Source organism: Homo sapiens, chromosome 10 (assembly GCF_000001405.40).
Source record: "Homo sapiens chromosome 10, GRCh38.p14 Primary Assembly".
Taxonomy (NCBI): Eukaryota; Metazoa; Chordata; class Mammalia; order Primates; family Hominidae; genus Homo; species Homo sapiens.
Genome location: NC_000010.11, coordinates 113,549,878 through 113,563,070, shown reverse-complemented (window position 1 = coordinate 113,563,070; position 13,193 = coordinate 113,549,878). Strand labels below are relative to the sequence as shown.

Here is a 13,193-nt window from a genome sequence, read left to right as displayed (position 1 = left end):
TTGCACACAATACTTCATAATTTAGGTATTATGATTATATCCAATTTAGAGGTGACAAAACTGAGGTTTTCAGATATTAAGTTGTCTAAAATAACTTAACTAGGAAATGCTGGAGCCAGAACAGGAGACTGTCAGTCTCACATCAGAGTCCTTGCTCTTAGTCACCATTGTGAGGGACCAGGAAGCTGCCACGTGTACACAGTAATAAAGCAAGGATGGAGGAGAAAGAAACAGAAAAGCTCATTAACCTTGAGAGGCAGGTGTTGAGCTAGGTTCAAAATCAGGGGCACTGTTCTTGGAATGCTTTATAAAAAGGCTTATCTGTGGGCCGGGCGCAGTGGCTTACGCCTGTAATCCCAACACTTTGGGAGGCCGAGGTGGGCAGATCACTTGAGGCCAGGAGTTGGAGACCAGCTTGGCCAACATGGCAAAACCCCATCTCTACTAAAAATACAAAAATTAGCCAGGCGTGAGGGCAGGAGCCTGTAGTCCCAGCTACTCGGGTGGCTGAGGCACAAGAATCGCTTGAACCTGAGAAGTGGAGGCTGCAGTGAGCAGAGATCGTGCCACTGCACTCCAGCTTGGGTGAAAGAATGAGACTCTGTCTTAAAAAAAAAAAAAAAAAAAAAGCTTATCCAATCTGGCCTAGGCCTGGCAGGCCACAGAGAGGGCCTACTTGGCCCCAGTGACAGCTGGAGAAAGTACAAAAGTCAGATTGAGCCTTGGCCAGCCTACTGCGGTAAACACATCTTAACAAACATCTTCACTCAGATCAAAAGGCACGTAAGCCACTGCCCACTTCTCCCACCACATCCATTCCTAGTTTCAACAGGGCTAAAATAGCACATGGTCCCAGCTGACCCGTCTTCTCTTAAAGGGTGGACGCTGCTGCTTCTGCACATGGTAAGGTAGCTGCTTTGTAGTATATTTAGCAAGACCATTCTAGATCCAACGACTGTTTATTCTACTCCGCACTTGGGCTTTCTCAATGGATCCCTGGCTCAGGACACTGACTTCAAGGTTAGGAGCAGGCCCTTAGCAATGTTAAACTCCCTAAGCCACCAGAGTCTCAAAGTCTGGTGTCCTCCCAGGTTAAGGTTGGTTAGTGAGGAAGGCAGGGAGAAAAGGATCCCGAGTCTCTGAGTCTTACTGATTTACAGTGTAATCTCCTTGTGGGTGGGGTGCACATACATCAAGTCTATTTTGTCCTATATTTAATCCAGTGATTATTTCAACTAAGATTCTTCCTCTGCCTTCCAGAATTCCAAAACTTCTGGAAGACAAAACAAAAAGCCTAACAGTCTGAGTTGATGTGTTCCAGAAATTCGTTGGTAGAAAATGTTCTCAGAGGGATTAGGAGGCAGTGATGGGGGAGATAGGGCCAGATTTGTCTTTTGGGGACAGAGGCTCAGCTCCGAATGAACTAAGAGCAGAGAAATCTTCTGCTTGCTGGATAAAAGGTTGGGACTCTAATCACACCATCTCTTCTTCCTTGCATGTTCTACCCTATGCCTGGTGGTAGGCCACATGTTGCCAACCACCAGGGAGGTGCGTTACTCCCAAGGGCAGCTGGGGAGGAGAGACCTCTGTACCATGGCCATGGTTGAGGCTGCAACCTCTGGACTGGAAGGTGGACAGGGACAAGTGTGCACAGTTCAGCAGGGCCAGTCCCCTTGCTGGGCAAAGAGCTCAAGGCCAGAGCGAGTAGTGGAGGTGGCAGAGGGCAGTGGCTGCCAGTGCCCAGGCCAAATCCTCCCTCATGTTGTTCTTCTCTGGCTCCTGCTACAAAGATAAGCGATGTCATTTCAGCCTGAGTTGAAATCATCACTGGATTAAAGATAGGACAAAATAGACTAGACGTATACACTCCCCACCCCCAAGAAGATTACACTGTAAATCAGTAGGATTCAGAGACACGGGCTCCTTCTCTCTCTGCCCCTCCTTGACTTTCTGTCTAACCAACTTTATCCTAGAAGACACTAAGATGAGCAGTTGTGCCAAGCCACTCAGTCCTTTTATTTGAAAATTGTGGTAACATATACAGAACATCACATTTATCGTTTTGACCATTTGTAAGTGTACCTTTCAGTGATACTAATTACATTCACAATGCTGTGTACCCATCACCACTCTCTAATCCCCAAACTTTTTCGTCATCCCCAGCATGGACTGTACTCGTTGAACAGAAACGCCTCCTTCTTATTCTCCCTCAGCCCTGCTAATCTCTAGCCTACTTTCTGTCTCTGTGCATTTGGCAATTCTAAGTATCTCATGGAAGCGGAATCCTACAATATTTGTCCTTCTGGGACTGCCTTTATTTCACTGTGCATCGTGTTTCCAAGGTCTTCTAGGTAGCATGTATCAAACTTTCCTTCCTTTTTACAGCTAAATAGTATTCCATTGTCTCTATCTAATCACATGTTGTTTATGCATTCATCTCTTGATGGACATGGGTCATTTACACCTTTTGGCTATTGTGAATAATACTGCTATGAACATTGGTGTACAGATTTCTGTTCAAGTCTCTGCTTTCAGTTCTTTCAGATATGTACTTAGATGTGGAATTGCTGGGTCCTAGGGTAGTTCTACGATTAACTTTGTCAGGGACCGCCATACTGTTTTCCACAGTGGCTGCACCATTTTACATACCTACCAGCGAGGCCTGAGGGTTCCAATTACTCCACATTCTCACCCACACTTGTTATTCCCCATTCTCGAAAATGATAGCCATCCTAATAGGTATGAAGTGAGCCATCCTAATAGGTGTGAAGTGGTGCAACTCCATCCCTTCGTAGGCACAGGAATCTTGCCCTTCTGGCTTTTGCACACATTGCTCAATGCCGTCTCAAGACTGGCAGGTTCACTGCAGCTTTGCTTTCACCTGAAGCTCAGGGGAAGGGGGCAAAACTCTCAAGGGAGAATGTGGAAGCCAAAGGTGAAGGTGCTGGCCAGCAGTGCCTGTGGGTGGTTTCCTTCCTGGACACCTGGGTGAAGCTGTTCACCAGACCACAGTGATGAGCCAGGAGCCACTGTAGAGAGGAACTGGCTCAGACCCTTCATCTGCAGAGGAGGAAGATGAGGCCCAGCATGGTGAAGTGGCTTGTGTAAGGACATGGACACATTGGGGCAGGGGAGGGACTCAGGCTCAAGTCTCCTGGCTCTGACGCCGATCACCTATGCCTGGCTCAGAGGGATTCTGTGCAGCTTCCCTGCTCTAAAGCCCAGAGCTGGCCACTCAGACCCTACCCAGCTAAGGGCTGAGCTGCAGCTTCGTGTGACAGTGGCAGGCAGAGATGGGACAGGGGCAATGGGCAGAAAGAGAAGAGTCCCATTTGTTACATCCGGAGAATTTCCATTTTAAAGACATTGGTTCTTAAACCTCAATGTGCATAAGAATTGTCTGGGGAACTTGATAAAAATACAGATCCCTGGGGCCCACCCGCAGAGGTTTGGCGTCCATGGGTCTGAGGTGGGCTGGGAACACAACACACATCTTCCTCCAGTGCCCAGGCGACTCTGCCCTTGGCCACGCTTTGGTTATACCAAGCTCTCTTGGGTGTGAAGCTTCTGGCTGAGGAGACTCAGGGCCTATCTTTGCTCCTGTGCAATTTGTTGAGTCTCTCTGTGCCTCAGTTTCCCCAATTATAAAAGTAAGAATTCCCTTTCCCAATTCCAATGTTTTATTCAAGGAACTTTGGCTGCTCAGGAAGAATATGGCATTTGCAATGATTACTCCGCAGGTGAGACTTGGTGAGAAATATCTGTACAAATGGCTCATCCCAGGGACTTGGTGCAAACAGATGGTGGTGGAGGGGAGCTTTGAAGGTTAGGGAGTGAGGCCATCCAAGACAAGGAGACTGGGTAAAAATTCTGCATATGATAATGCTCTTGGAAGCCCTTTTAAAAGGCAAGCGAAGGCTGGGCACGGTGGCTCACGCCGGTAATCCCAGCACTTTGGGAGGCCAGGGCGGGTGGATCACTTAAGGTCAGGAGTTTGACACCAGCCTGGCCAGGATGGTGAAACCCTGTCTCTGCTAAGAATACAAAAATTAGCTGGGCGTGGTGGCAGTTGCCTGTAATCCCAGCTACTCAGGAGGCTGAGTCAGGAGAATCGCTTTAACCTGGCAGGCAGAGGTTGCATTGAGCCAAGATTGCGCCATTGCACTCCAGCCTGGGCAACAGAGCGAGACTCCGTCTAAGAAAAAAAAAAAATTAAGACAAGCAAGTGGACAAAACCAAAGCACAGCTGAGCGTGGGGCCGCCTCATAAGCACAAGCCCCCATGTTTCCCTTTTTGGTCAGTCAGCCCCAGCAAATAGCCCAGGGCTTCAGGAAGGTAACTCCCCCGCTAGGCATCAGCACCACCTCTGCTGAAGCTGTGCTCACTCCTGCGCTTTCCGTGGCATCAGATGTGAGCCACTGCGGGTATCTGAGTTGATTGAGATGGTGCCTAGCCAGGATGTGAAGTAACAGCATTAGAATAAAACAGAAAACACAGCGTGAGAAAGTCTTTCTTTTCTCAGGTTGACTGTCAAGCCTTCCAATCCCACCAGGGGGAAGGACTGGCGGGTGCTGGTGTCTCTATCCTCTGCCTCCTGCTGATCTTTCCTCTAAGGAGGATAAAGCCGCTTCAGGCTCAGACCTTTAGCATGTCAACAGCAGCCAGCTAGAATTCAATGACATCACTTCGCTTTCTTTGTAGTAATGACAATTTCCTTTAGAACTAAATCAATTTAGGTAGAGAAAAGGTGAGTCTTTAACAAAAGTATTAAGAAACTAATTTGGGCTTTGGCAGAATTTCTGAAGATGGCTTCATTCATGACTGAAGTTTTGAAAACACTGAACGAACTGGTTTGCTAGCCGGCAAGACTCGATCCTTGTGGTGTCGGAAAGCAAAGGGAAAGCAAAGCTTCGGGGCTATTGAGGGAACGTCCAGATGGGAGCGACTTTGTCTCCTGCTGGAAGCTGGAGTCTCAGGCTGCTGCCCATTTTGACACCTTTGATACCACACAAAACGGTCTTGTTTGTCTTTGGGCAGTGCCAGGCATGATGATCTCAACCACAGTGCTTGTGAGCATAGAACTAGGCGTTGGGCAGACCTTGAATCCCAGAGCTGTAACCTCCCAGAGGTGCCATCTTGAGTAGATGATTTAACTGCTCTATGCTTAGTTTCTTGTCTGTAAAATGAGAATGACATTGGTCCCTAACTCATAGGGTTTGAGAGAAGCTTAAATGAGATAATAAACATAAAGCATGCCACATCTGGCAAATGTAAAGACTTCATACGTGGTTGCTGCTACTATTAATTATTACGATTACTCTTACTACTCCTATTATTAATAGCCACTGTTGTCAGTGAGTTTGTTCTGTTTTCTCAGAGTGCCGGAAGAGCCGACTAAGGAGAACTTACTCAGCATCAACTTTTCCTGGAACTTGTTTGCGGGTCACAGGCATGGCGCACCAACCCCCTCCCCGCCAACCATTTTTCCTGGGATCGTTGCCAAGTCCTAAGCCAGGAAACCTTGTTATATTAATTATGAAGAAAAAGCATGTTTTATTTAAAATCCCGGCTGCCAAATATTCTGCCATGCTGTTTCTCTGTGACAGCAGAATTGCTCTTGCATTTAGGAAACTCTAATGAATTTAAAATATAAATATACCCGTGCCTGTATACACATGTGATTTCCTGCGACCTGATTTCCCTAAATACCAGTGTACACCGCTAAAGGTAATGAGTTGGATTTGTGCTTCAGATCAGTTAAAAAAAAATCTATGAGAATTTGCAGTGAAAATCAGTCCCTCCCCTTTCCCTAAGACCGTGTAGATGGCAGTAAGAGGGAGGAATGCCTCTTCAGTCTCTCCTAGGCCCGAAAGAGACTGGCATTCTGGAGGCTTTGAAAAGAGTGGCTCCCATCTTCCTGTCCAAGACCTTGTTTGGTCCTGGAGCCCATGCAGGTGTGGATGCTTGAATTAATCGGATGCTGAGCCTGGTCACTTGCCCATCCCAAACTTGGTCCGATAAGTCAATATCCACAGCATTTCTGAGCAATAACCAGAGAAGTGCAGTAAGGCAGAACCAGGCAGACAATGCACATTGGTCAAGAGGAAGAGTTCTAGATAGTATGGGGGCCAGGCATGATGCTTCACACCTGTCATCTCAGCACTTTGAGAGGCCAAGGCTAGAGGATCACTTAAGGTCAGGAGTTCAACACCAGCTTTGTGCAAAATAGCAAAAACCAGTCTCTACAAAAAAAAAAAAAAAAAAAAGAATAAAAGAATCAAAGAAAGAGAGAGGAGCAGGATCTGGGAAACTCAAGCTTCTTTTTTCTTTCTTTCTTTTTTTTTTTAAACTTTTTTTGAGATGGAGTCTTGCTCTGTTGCCAAGGCAGGATGCAATGGCACCTTCTCTGCTCATTGCAATCTCTACCTCCTGGGTTCAAGTGACGCTTCTGCCTCAGCCTCCCAAGTAGCTGAGACTACAGACATGTACCACCACACCCGCTTAATTTAAAAAAAATTTTTTTTGATAGAGACAGAGTCTTGCTATGTTGCTAGTCTCAAACTCCTGGCCTCAAGCAATCCTCCCACCTTGGACTCCCAAAGTGCTGGGATTACAGGCATGAGCTACCATGCCTGGCCTCAAACTTCATCTAATAACAGCAGCGGTGGCTACCCCTCTCCATGGTGCCAGCCAAGAATGTGAACCCAATGCTACTCAAATGTCTGATTTTCAAGAAAAGCTGGGAATCTGTATCTTTAATGGGAAATGTTCTGTGTTCCGATTTTCAAATGTGGCCAAGCAATTAAAATAAAACTAAAATACTCTTGGAGTCAATCTTCTATCCACCAAGTTAAACTTGAGCTGTGAGCAGAGTGTATTTCAAGCTGCCAATTTGCAACTTCTGACCTATGCAAACTGTTTTGTGGCTCTATCCCTGGGAAGATTCTAGAGTTCTAGGGTTTTAAAAGCCCAGAAATGTAAACATTGTTTTAATTGAAAGCACCTCCTTTGCAGGGGAGAGGAGAAGCCTTTGTCTTTCTTCTTTCTAGGGATGGGCTGAGATAAGCAGGCAAGCTTGACAAACATTGTCCTCTGGTTTCTGGGCTTGGAGAGGCCAAATTCCATTATGGCTGAGCCCAGCTGGGCCCCAAATCACTCTAAGAATCCTAGCAAGAAGAGATTTCTAAGACAGTCCACGCCTTATTTACAGTTAAGCAGGCCTCCTGTGATGAATGTGGAGTCAGACAGACCTGGCCCCAATCCTGGCCAGAAAGTCATTTTAACATCTCTGGGTTTGTATCTCATCCATAAAACAGGGATAATGATATGAGGTTGTGCTGGACAGGTGCTCAAAAATGATATGTTAGGAAAACCAAACCTCGAGTAGAACAGCAAGGCACAATGAATGATGCCCTGGAGTTCACAGCAATGATTTTTGACCCATATCTCTTGGGCTAGTGGATATCAGAATAAAAATCTCCATGACAGATGATCCCAAAGAACAGTCCTCATTTGCTACATGATCTGAATTCATGGGAGAGTACCTGGGTGTCTTTCCAATGAATAGTGACCACAGATCCTATAGCTGCCTTTCTTTGGAGTTTCAGAGACACGTGGAGTCCATTACACTCCACCCAGCAAACATGTGCCTGGTCTAAGAGGCCTTTCCCTACAGGAAAAGCCATGTCCCTGAAGCTGTACGAACCAAAGAAATCTCATCCTCACCCAGGGCCCCAGACAGGAGACTGGCTACACGGAAACCAGTCTGTAATCCAGAGCTCAGCTCTGCCACTCATCAGCTGTATGACTTGGGACAGGCCCAGTTTTCCAGCTTCGTTTCTGTAAAATGGGAGCATAGTAGGAATTACTTCTTGGGGTCCTTCCAGAGATGAACCAATTCATGGAAAGTTCAGGGGCTAGCACTCAGGACTTCTCATTAAATGGTAGCAGTTAGTTATGACTTTTAGCTGTGTGGGGCTGGAGAGGCCACCCAGCCCAGCTGGCTATGTGGCTTCTTTACCCCCATGACGCCCCAAACTCTCCAAAGCATCTGAACGACTTGGCCACTTTCCCCTGATGTCTGTATGCCAGCCTGTGGAACACAAGCCGCCTTCCCGACCACCTGTCTGGCACACATCTGGGGTAAGAAAGCATTCCAAAGCCCCGAATCCTCTCTTTGGAATTGACTAAGCTCATTGCCTGAAGGCTAACTCTCATATTTTCTCTTTTATCCATTATTGACTTATAATTTCATTGCTAACCCTAAAAATTCAATGGGGTTTGCAAAAAAGGGATTTTTCGGGACCATTATCCTTTTGTGAACTTCAAACATACCGTGTCAACGTTTCTCCTTGCCCGCAAAGTTTAGGATCTAATTCTTTCCGACTGGTATGTTCTCTGGGCCCCGCGTGGGCCTCCGATGATTTCTCCTGCCTTTCTCTAGACCTGTGGTATTTCTGCTGTGTCTCGGCCTCAGACACCAACAAGCCATCAAATGATGTAGGGGCTTGACAACAATTTGTAATTACAACCACCACACACACACAAGTCATGATTTGAAAAGAAAACCCTTTCAGAAGTGAGTCACTTGGCAACTTAATACAGAGCTAAGATAGGTGTCTGAGCACAGTTGACGGAAAAGAAAGGAGAAGCTATTGTTTTAAAAACATGCTAATCAGAAAACTGTAACTTAATCTGCTTCATTCAGGAAACGCTCTATGGAGTGAAATGGGGAACAAAATGCAAAGGTACTTAATAAGACAGAGAGGTTATGACTGTTATTTTAGTTCTTATCCTCTGCCCACTTTCTACCACCCCTCCCGAACAAGGCGGAGCATTCTCTGATTTTTATGGAGAAGTTGTGTTCATTCTTGACATTTTAAGGGAGTAGAGCTCACATTTATTTGCAAGCCACATACATGACCTCGTTTACTTGTGGCCCTCCCCAAATCTATGAGAGGTTAGCACTTGATTTGCAGAAGACAACACTGAGGCTCAGAGAGATTATGTTCCTTGCCCAACATTCCACAGCTAGAATGTGGCAAAGCTGAGATTCGAACCCTGGCTCCAAAGCCCACATTCATGCCTCAGACCACAACCAGCACGGAACTCCAAGGAGACTCTATTTCTGTGCAAGGTCCTCTTTCCATGCCCACAGAGATCCATCTGACACTCTTGGACCATGGCACACAGAAGGAACTAACATCTTGACAAGTCATCTGCTCCGGAAGGTCCTGAGTCCCCCGTTCAAGACTCTCTGATGGGACTTCCCTTCCCTGCGCACTGCAACCTCCCTTGGGCCCCTGCTCACCTTCTCTGCCTCATCTGCTGCTGTCACAGGGAAAAGGAGACAAAGTACTAAACACAAAGCTTCTCCCCAAATCCAAACTATTTATGCAGACCCACTGCCAGGATCTTTTGCAGTCAGCAGGCTTCCCCTCTAAGGCCATAGCACATTGCTTCTTACCCTAGTGTCAGCCACAAATCGCTGGAAAACTGTGTGTGTCAGCACCAATAGATAGGTATATTTTCCTGGGGAGAGAGTTTATAGCTTTCCATGGCTTCTCAAAGGGGTCTATGAGATCCATGACAGATTACAATCCATGCCCTGGGGCACATTTTCTTGCCCCAGTCTCCTTTGCTGGAATGCATTCATGGAGGCTCCGCTCCAAGATGGCTCAAGTCAGACACCTGTTCCCATGGGAGTGGCTGCTCAAAAGAAACCAAGCCACAGGCCTGCATTGGTTCTTGTAGTTAGAACATCTCCAACTTGGCAACTCCAGCCTTTCACTCTAAAGTTTCTCATCACTCCCAGCCTAGCTTGGTCCTCCTAGTAAACTTCGGAGTCTCTCAACTACAAATATTAGAAAAGAACACTTACCCCACAGGCTGTCTTTCCCACCAGAGCCATTAACAGCAGAACATGGAGATCAGACATCCTGGCAAACATCTTTGCAGTTTAAGGACTTGTGTTTTCCTCTCAATAAAATTTCTTTTGTTGTCTATGCCTTTAGGGGGGAAAAATGTCAGTCTCCAAGGATTCAGGAACAAATGAAGAGGATGCAAATTATTAACTAGGCATCAAATACTGTTTAATGTTTAATGTTTTGCAAACTAACTATCTTGATTAAACAAATGGCAACTTTGGGGCTGGGCTGAGTCATGAAGTGGTTTCTCTTCTGGGGAGAAACTCTCCAAAGAAAGTAGCTGACATAGCCCCCTGGCTCCACGGTGCACATGACAGCTGCTGGGTGTTCCGAGCAGGAAGCCTGACAGCGTGACTAGCATCCCAGCCTCAGGATAAAAGATCAGGTGAAGCCTGTGCCACAGGCCTCTGCCAGTGCTGATTTGTACAGAATGTTAATAGACTTCTGGTTCATCAAATCTCAAACAGAATTAAGGCATGGATGGGCTCCTAATAACATCACACTTTATATTCATGAGACATAAATTAAAGGATGCAAAACTGCTATTGACAAACATTGATTCTGGGCCCTTTGAAGTGTTGCCCACAGTTGCTTGTTGGCTTCAAAAGTTTTGTTTTAAACCTCATTAGGTAAGACTTTTACTTTTTAATTATTTTTTCCCCTTTTGCTGGAGTCTTTCTTTGATCAAGCGGAGGAAAAAAAACATGGTGTTCATATTTCAGGACAATTGTTTCCTATGTTCCTTATTTAGCTATGCTGGTTGCAGGTAGAGTTCTGTCAAGCAGCAATTACCTATTAAGTGTGGGTTCTTGTGGACACAATTGATCTCTTTAATAGGCATGATCTTAATCTCCTGTAAACAACTGACTGCCCACAGAAATCTATGCCTGGGTTCCAGGAATCCTCCTGACTTGAGTCATAAATCCAGGTTTTGAAATGCTGCTGCCAGCGGAGGCATGTGCTCACCTGTGCCCCCCTGCCCAGCCCTGCCCCTACCTGCCATCCCTGTTTGGCACGTGGACTGCATCAGTGGCTGCATCTACTTCTGAAAGCCAAGTTGCTAGCCGGGGAGGGCCCCACAGATCCCAGCCCAAAAGAATGCCCCAGTCACCAGATGAGCCTTGAAGGACTAGCCAAGTCCTGGTCCTGCCATTTTACCTCCTAAATGACTTCCACATTATTTTCTTTTATCCACATATTTTTGTCTCCATCCTATTTTAGGCAGCCATCAACTCCCCCCACCCCGCCTCCTATACCATCAACATCCACCTGATCACCATAATACAAGCCCATGTTAGTAGTCCCTTTTTCTTTTTATTATTATTATTATTATTATTTTGAGACAGAGTCTCACTCTGTCATCCAGGCTGAAGTGCAGTGGCGTGATCTTGGCTCACTGCAACCTCTGCCTCCTGGATTCAAGTGATTCTCCTGCCTCAGCCTCCTGAATAGCTGGGAATACAGGTGTATGCCACCATGGCTGGCTAATTTTTGTATTTTTAGTAGAGACGGCATTTCGCCATCTTGGCCAGGCTGGTCTCAAACTCCTGACCTCAGGTGATCCACCCGCCTCAGGCTCCCAAAGTGCTAGGATTATAGGCATAAGCCACTGCGCCTGGCTGTAGTCCCTTTTCCTAGAAAGTTCTTCTCTAGCCCTACTCTGTCCTTCCCCTAATCCTTATGACAACCATAAATTTGTTAACTGGAACCCTGCTCACTCCTGAGCAAGTTAATTTAGTTAACTCTCCTAGTTAATGCATCTTTCATCTCTTAGCCCAAACATTACTTCCTCAGAAGCCCTGCATGCATTTCTTCTTTACAGCATTTATGAGGTTGTAATGTCACAGCCGTATTGCTATTTCATTAATATTTGTTTCCCATTGTCCCCATTAGACTGAAAACTCAGGAGAGCAGGCACTCTGTTTCAATCACCATTGAATCCTTGGCATAGATGCCCAGCACTGGATAGACGCTCAATAAGTTTATGTTGGATGAAATGAACAAATGAATGACCACTTTATCCATGTGACAGTTGGACATGTTATCACCAGGATGCCTTAGATAGCATAGCCAACTCAATGTGAAAGGAAAAACTGGATGTGGAAAACTAAAAGTATTTGTGAAATTTTAAGCACACTTCAACTTATTCATGAACACTCCATTAATATTCATCAAATACTTACAGAAGCTCTGCTGTGAGCCAGGCATTGGTGATGTGGGGATGAAGGAGGCAGATGTGAACTGGTTGAGGAGGAGATGGGCAGACAGTGAAAAAGTAAACAGTTAATTTTCGTTAGTGGTTTCTATGAAAAAGAGTGAAACAAGGCGATGGAATAGCAATCCTCATGGGCGGGACGATGGGAGGTGGTTACCATGACATGGTGGCCACGGTGACATGGTGGCTAAACAGGACATCGGTGCAGTGCTGAGGATTTTGTTGGTGGTTACTTGATCCCAGAGCAAGGGCCAAGGAGGCAGCACACATGAGGACTTTGCTGGAGTCTTCACAGTGTTTGTACAGACGGTAAAAAACAAAAACGGAAATGTTCAGACAAGTCAAACCATGAAATCACTCATGTGACTCAGGCGTCTCTTTTCCCCTCCACTGCCTCGCATGAATTACTGACCTTCTGACTTTGTGGAGAGATTCCCAGAAAACAAGCCAGAAGCTTTTCTTCCTGTGTCAACAGGAAGTGACCTGGTGAGTTTGCTGTTCATCTTTGTAATGAGATTAATTTCCCTGACATGTAATCTTCTCTTTATTTCAAACAAAAAGGGAACACTTTTGCTCTTTTTGTAATAACTGCAGGCCTTCCACATATTGTCTCTTATTTCCCTAAAGTGTTGTTATCATGACAAAGTGAAATTAAATAAATTTCTACAGTTAGTCCTAAAGGAGAACATTCTCTAAAATATACTTAATCCTTTTAATTTAGAAGGAAAAAGAGGCTGGCTAATCACGTAATACGTCTTTAGCTGGGGAGCTGGAACTAACCTACCTGGGATCTCTGGTTTTTAAATCCAAACACAAAGGCTTTAGTGCTCATCCAGATGGGGGTTTCAGATGTTATCAAGTTAATCTGGTCTCTCTGTTCCCTGGGTGACATTTTCTCACGTGTTGGGTTACGTACCGCTGGAGGGAGTCCCTGCCCTGCATGGGAGGCCTTGGGAGTCTGGTTTCTCTAGTTGGCTGATTCTTTACCAAAAGGAAAGGCTTCTTCACAAGGCCCTTGCCAGACACCCACCCTTTGATGTTCTAGGCAAGGG

General features: G+C 45.8%; 1 protein-coding gene across 2 annotated transcripts in view, besides 3 other annotated features; it reads right to left on the bottom strand.

Moving 5' to 3' along the window:
* Window positions 1–12,240, bottom strand: part of HABP2 (hyaluronan binding protein 2) — a 38,772-nt gene extending 26,532 nt beyond the window's left edge. Inside the window, exon 1 of one of the 2 annotated variants that reach the window (NM_001177660.3) lies at window positions 12,110–12,240. Coding sequence is in view for 1 of the 2 variants with exons in the window: in NM_004132.5 (NP_004123.1) it covers window positions 9,881–9,949 (69 nt within the window). In the remaining variant the exon portion in view is untranslated. Of the gene's footprint in view, window positions 1–9,880; window positions 10,019–12,109 lie in introns of those variants that run through there. The other variant, NM_004132.5, reaches the window with a different exon arrangement.
* Window positions 3,367–3,661: a silencer, noted in NCBI's record as "tiled region #9721; K562 Repressive non-DNase unmatched - State 23:Low". NCBI's record gives its function as "represses a minimal TATA promoter and a strong SV40 promoter by Sharpr-MPRA in K562 cells {active_cell/tissue: K562}" and the evidence as "EXISTENCE:reporter gene assay evidence [ECO:0000049][PMID:27701403]".
* Window positions 4,183–4,863: an enhancer, noted in NCBI's record as "OCT4-NANOG-H3K27ac-H3K4me1 hESC enhancer chr10:115317967-115318647 (GRCh37/hg19 assembly coordinates)". NCBI's record gives its function as "activates a minimal SCP1, AML or CMV promoter by ChIP-STARR-seq in naive and primed H9 embryonic stem cells {active_cell/tissue: H9 hESC(naive and primed)}" and the evidence as "EXISTENCE:reporter gene assay evidence [ECO:0000049][PMID:30033119]".
* Window positions 4,864–5,544: an enhancer, noted in NCBI's record as "NANOG-H3K27ac hESC enhancer chr10:115317286-115317966 (GRCh37/hg19 assembly coordinates)". NCBI's record gives its function as "activates a minimal SCP1, AML or CMV promoter by ChIP-STARR-seq in primed H9 embryonic stem cells {active_cell/tissue: H9 hESC(primed)}" and the evidence as "EXISTENCE:reporter gene assay evidence [ECO:0000049][PMID:30033119]".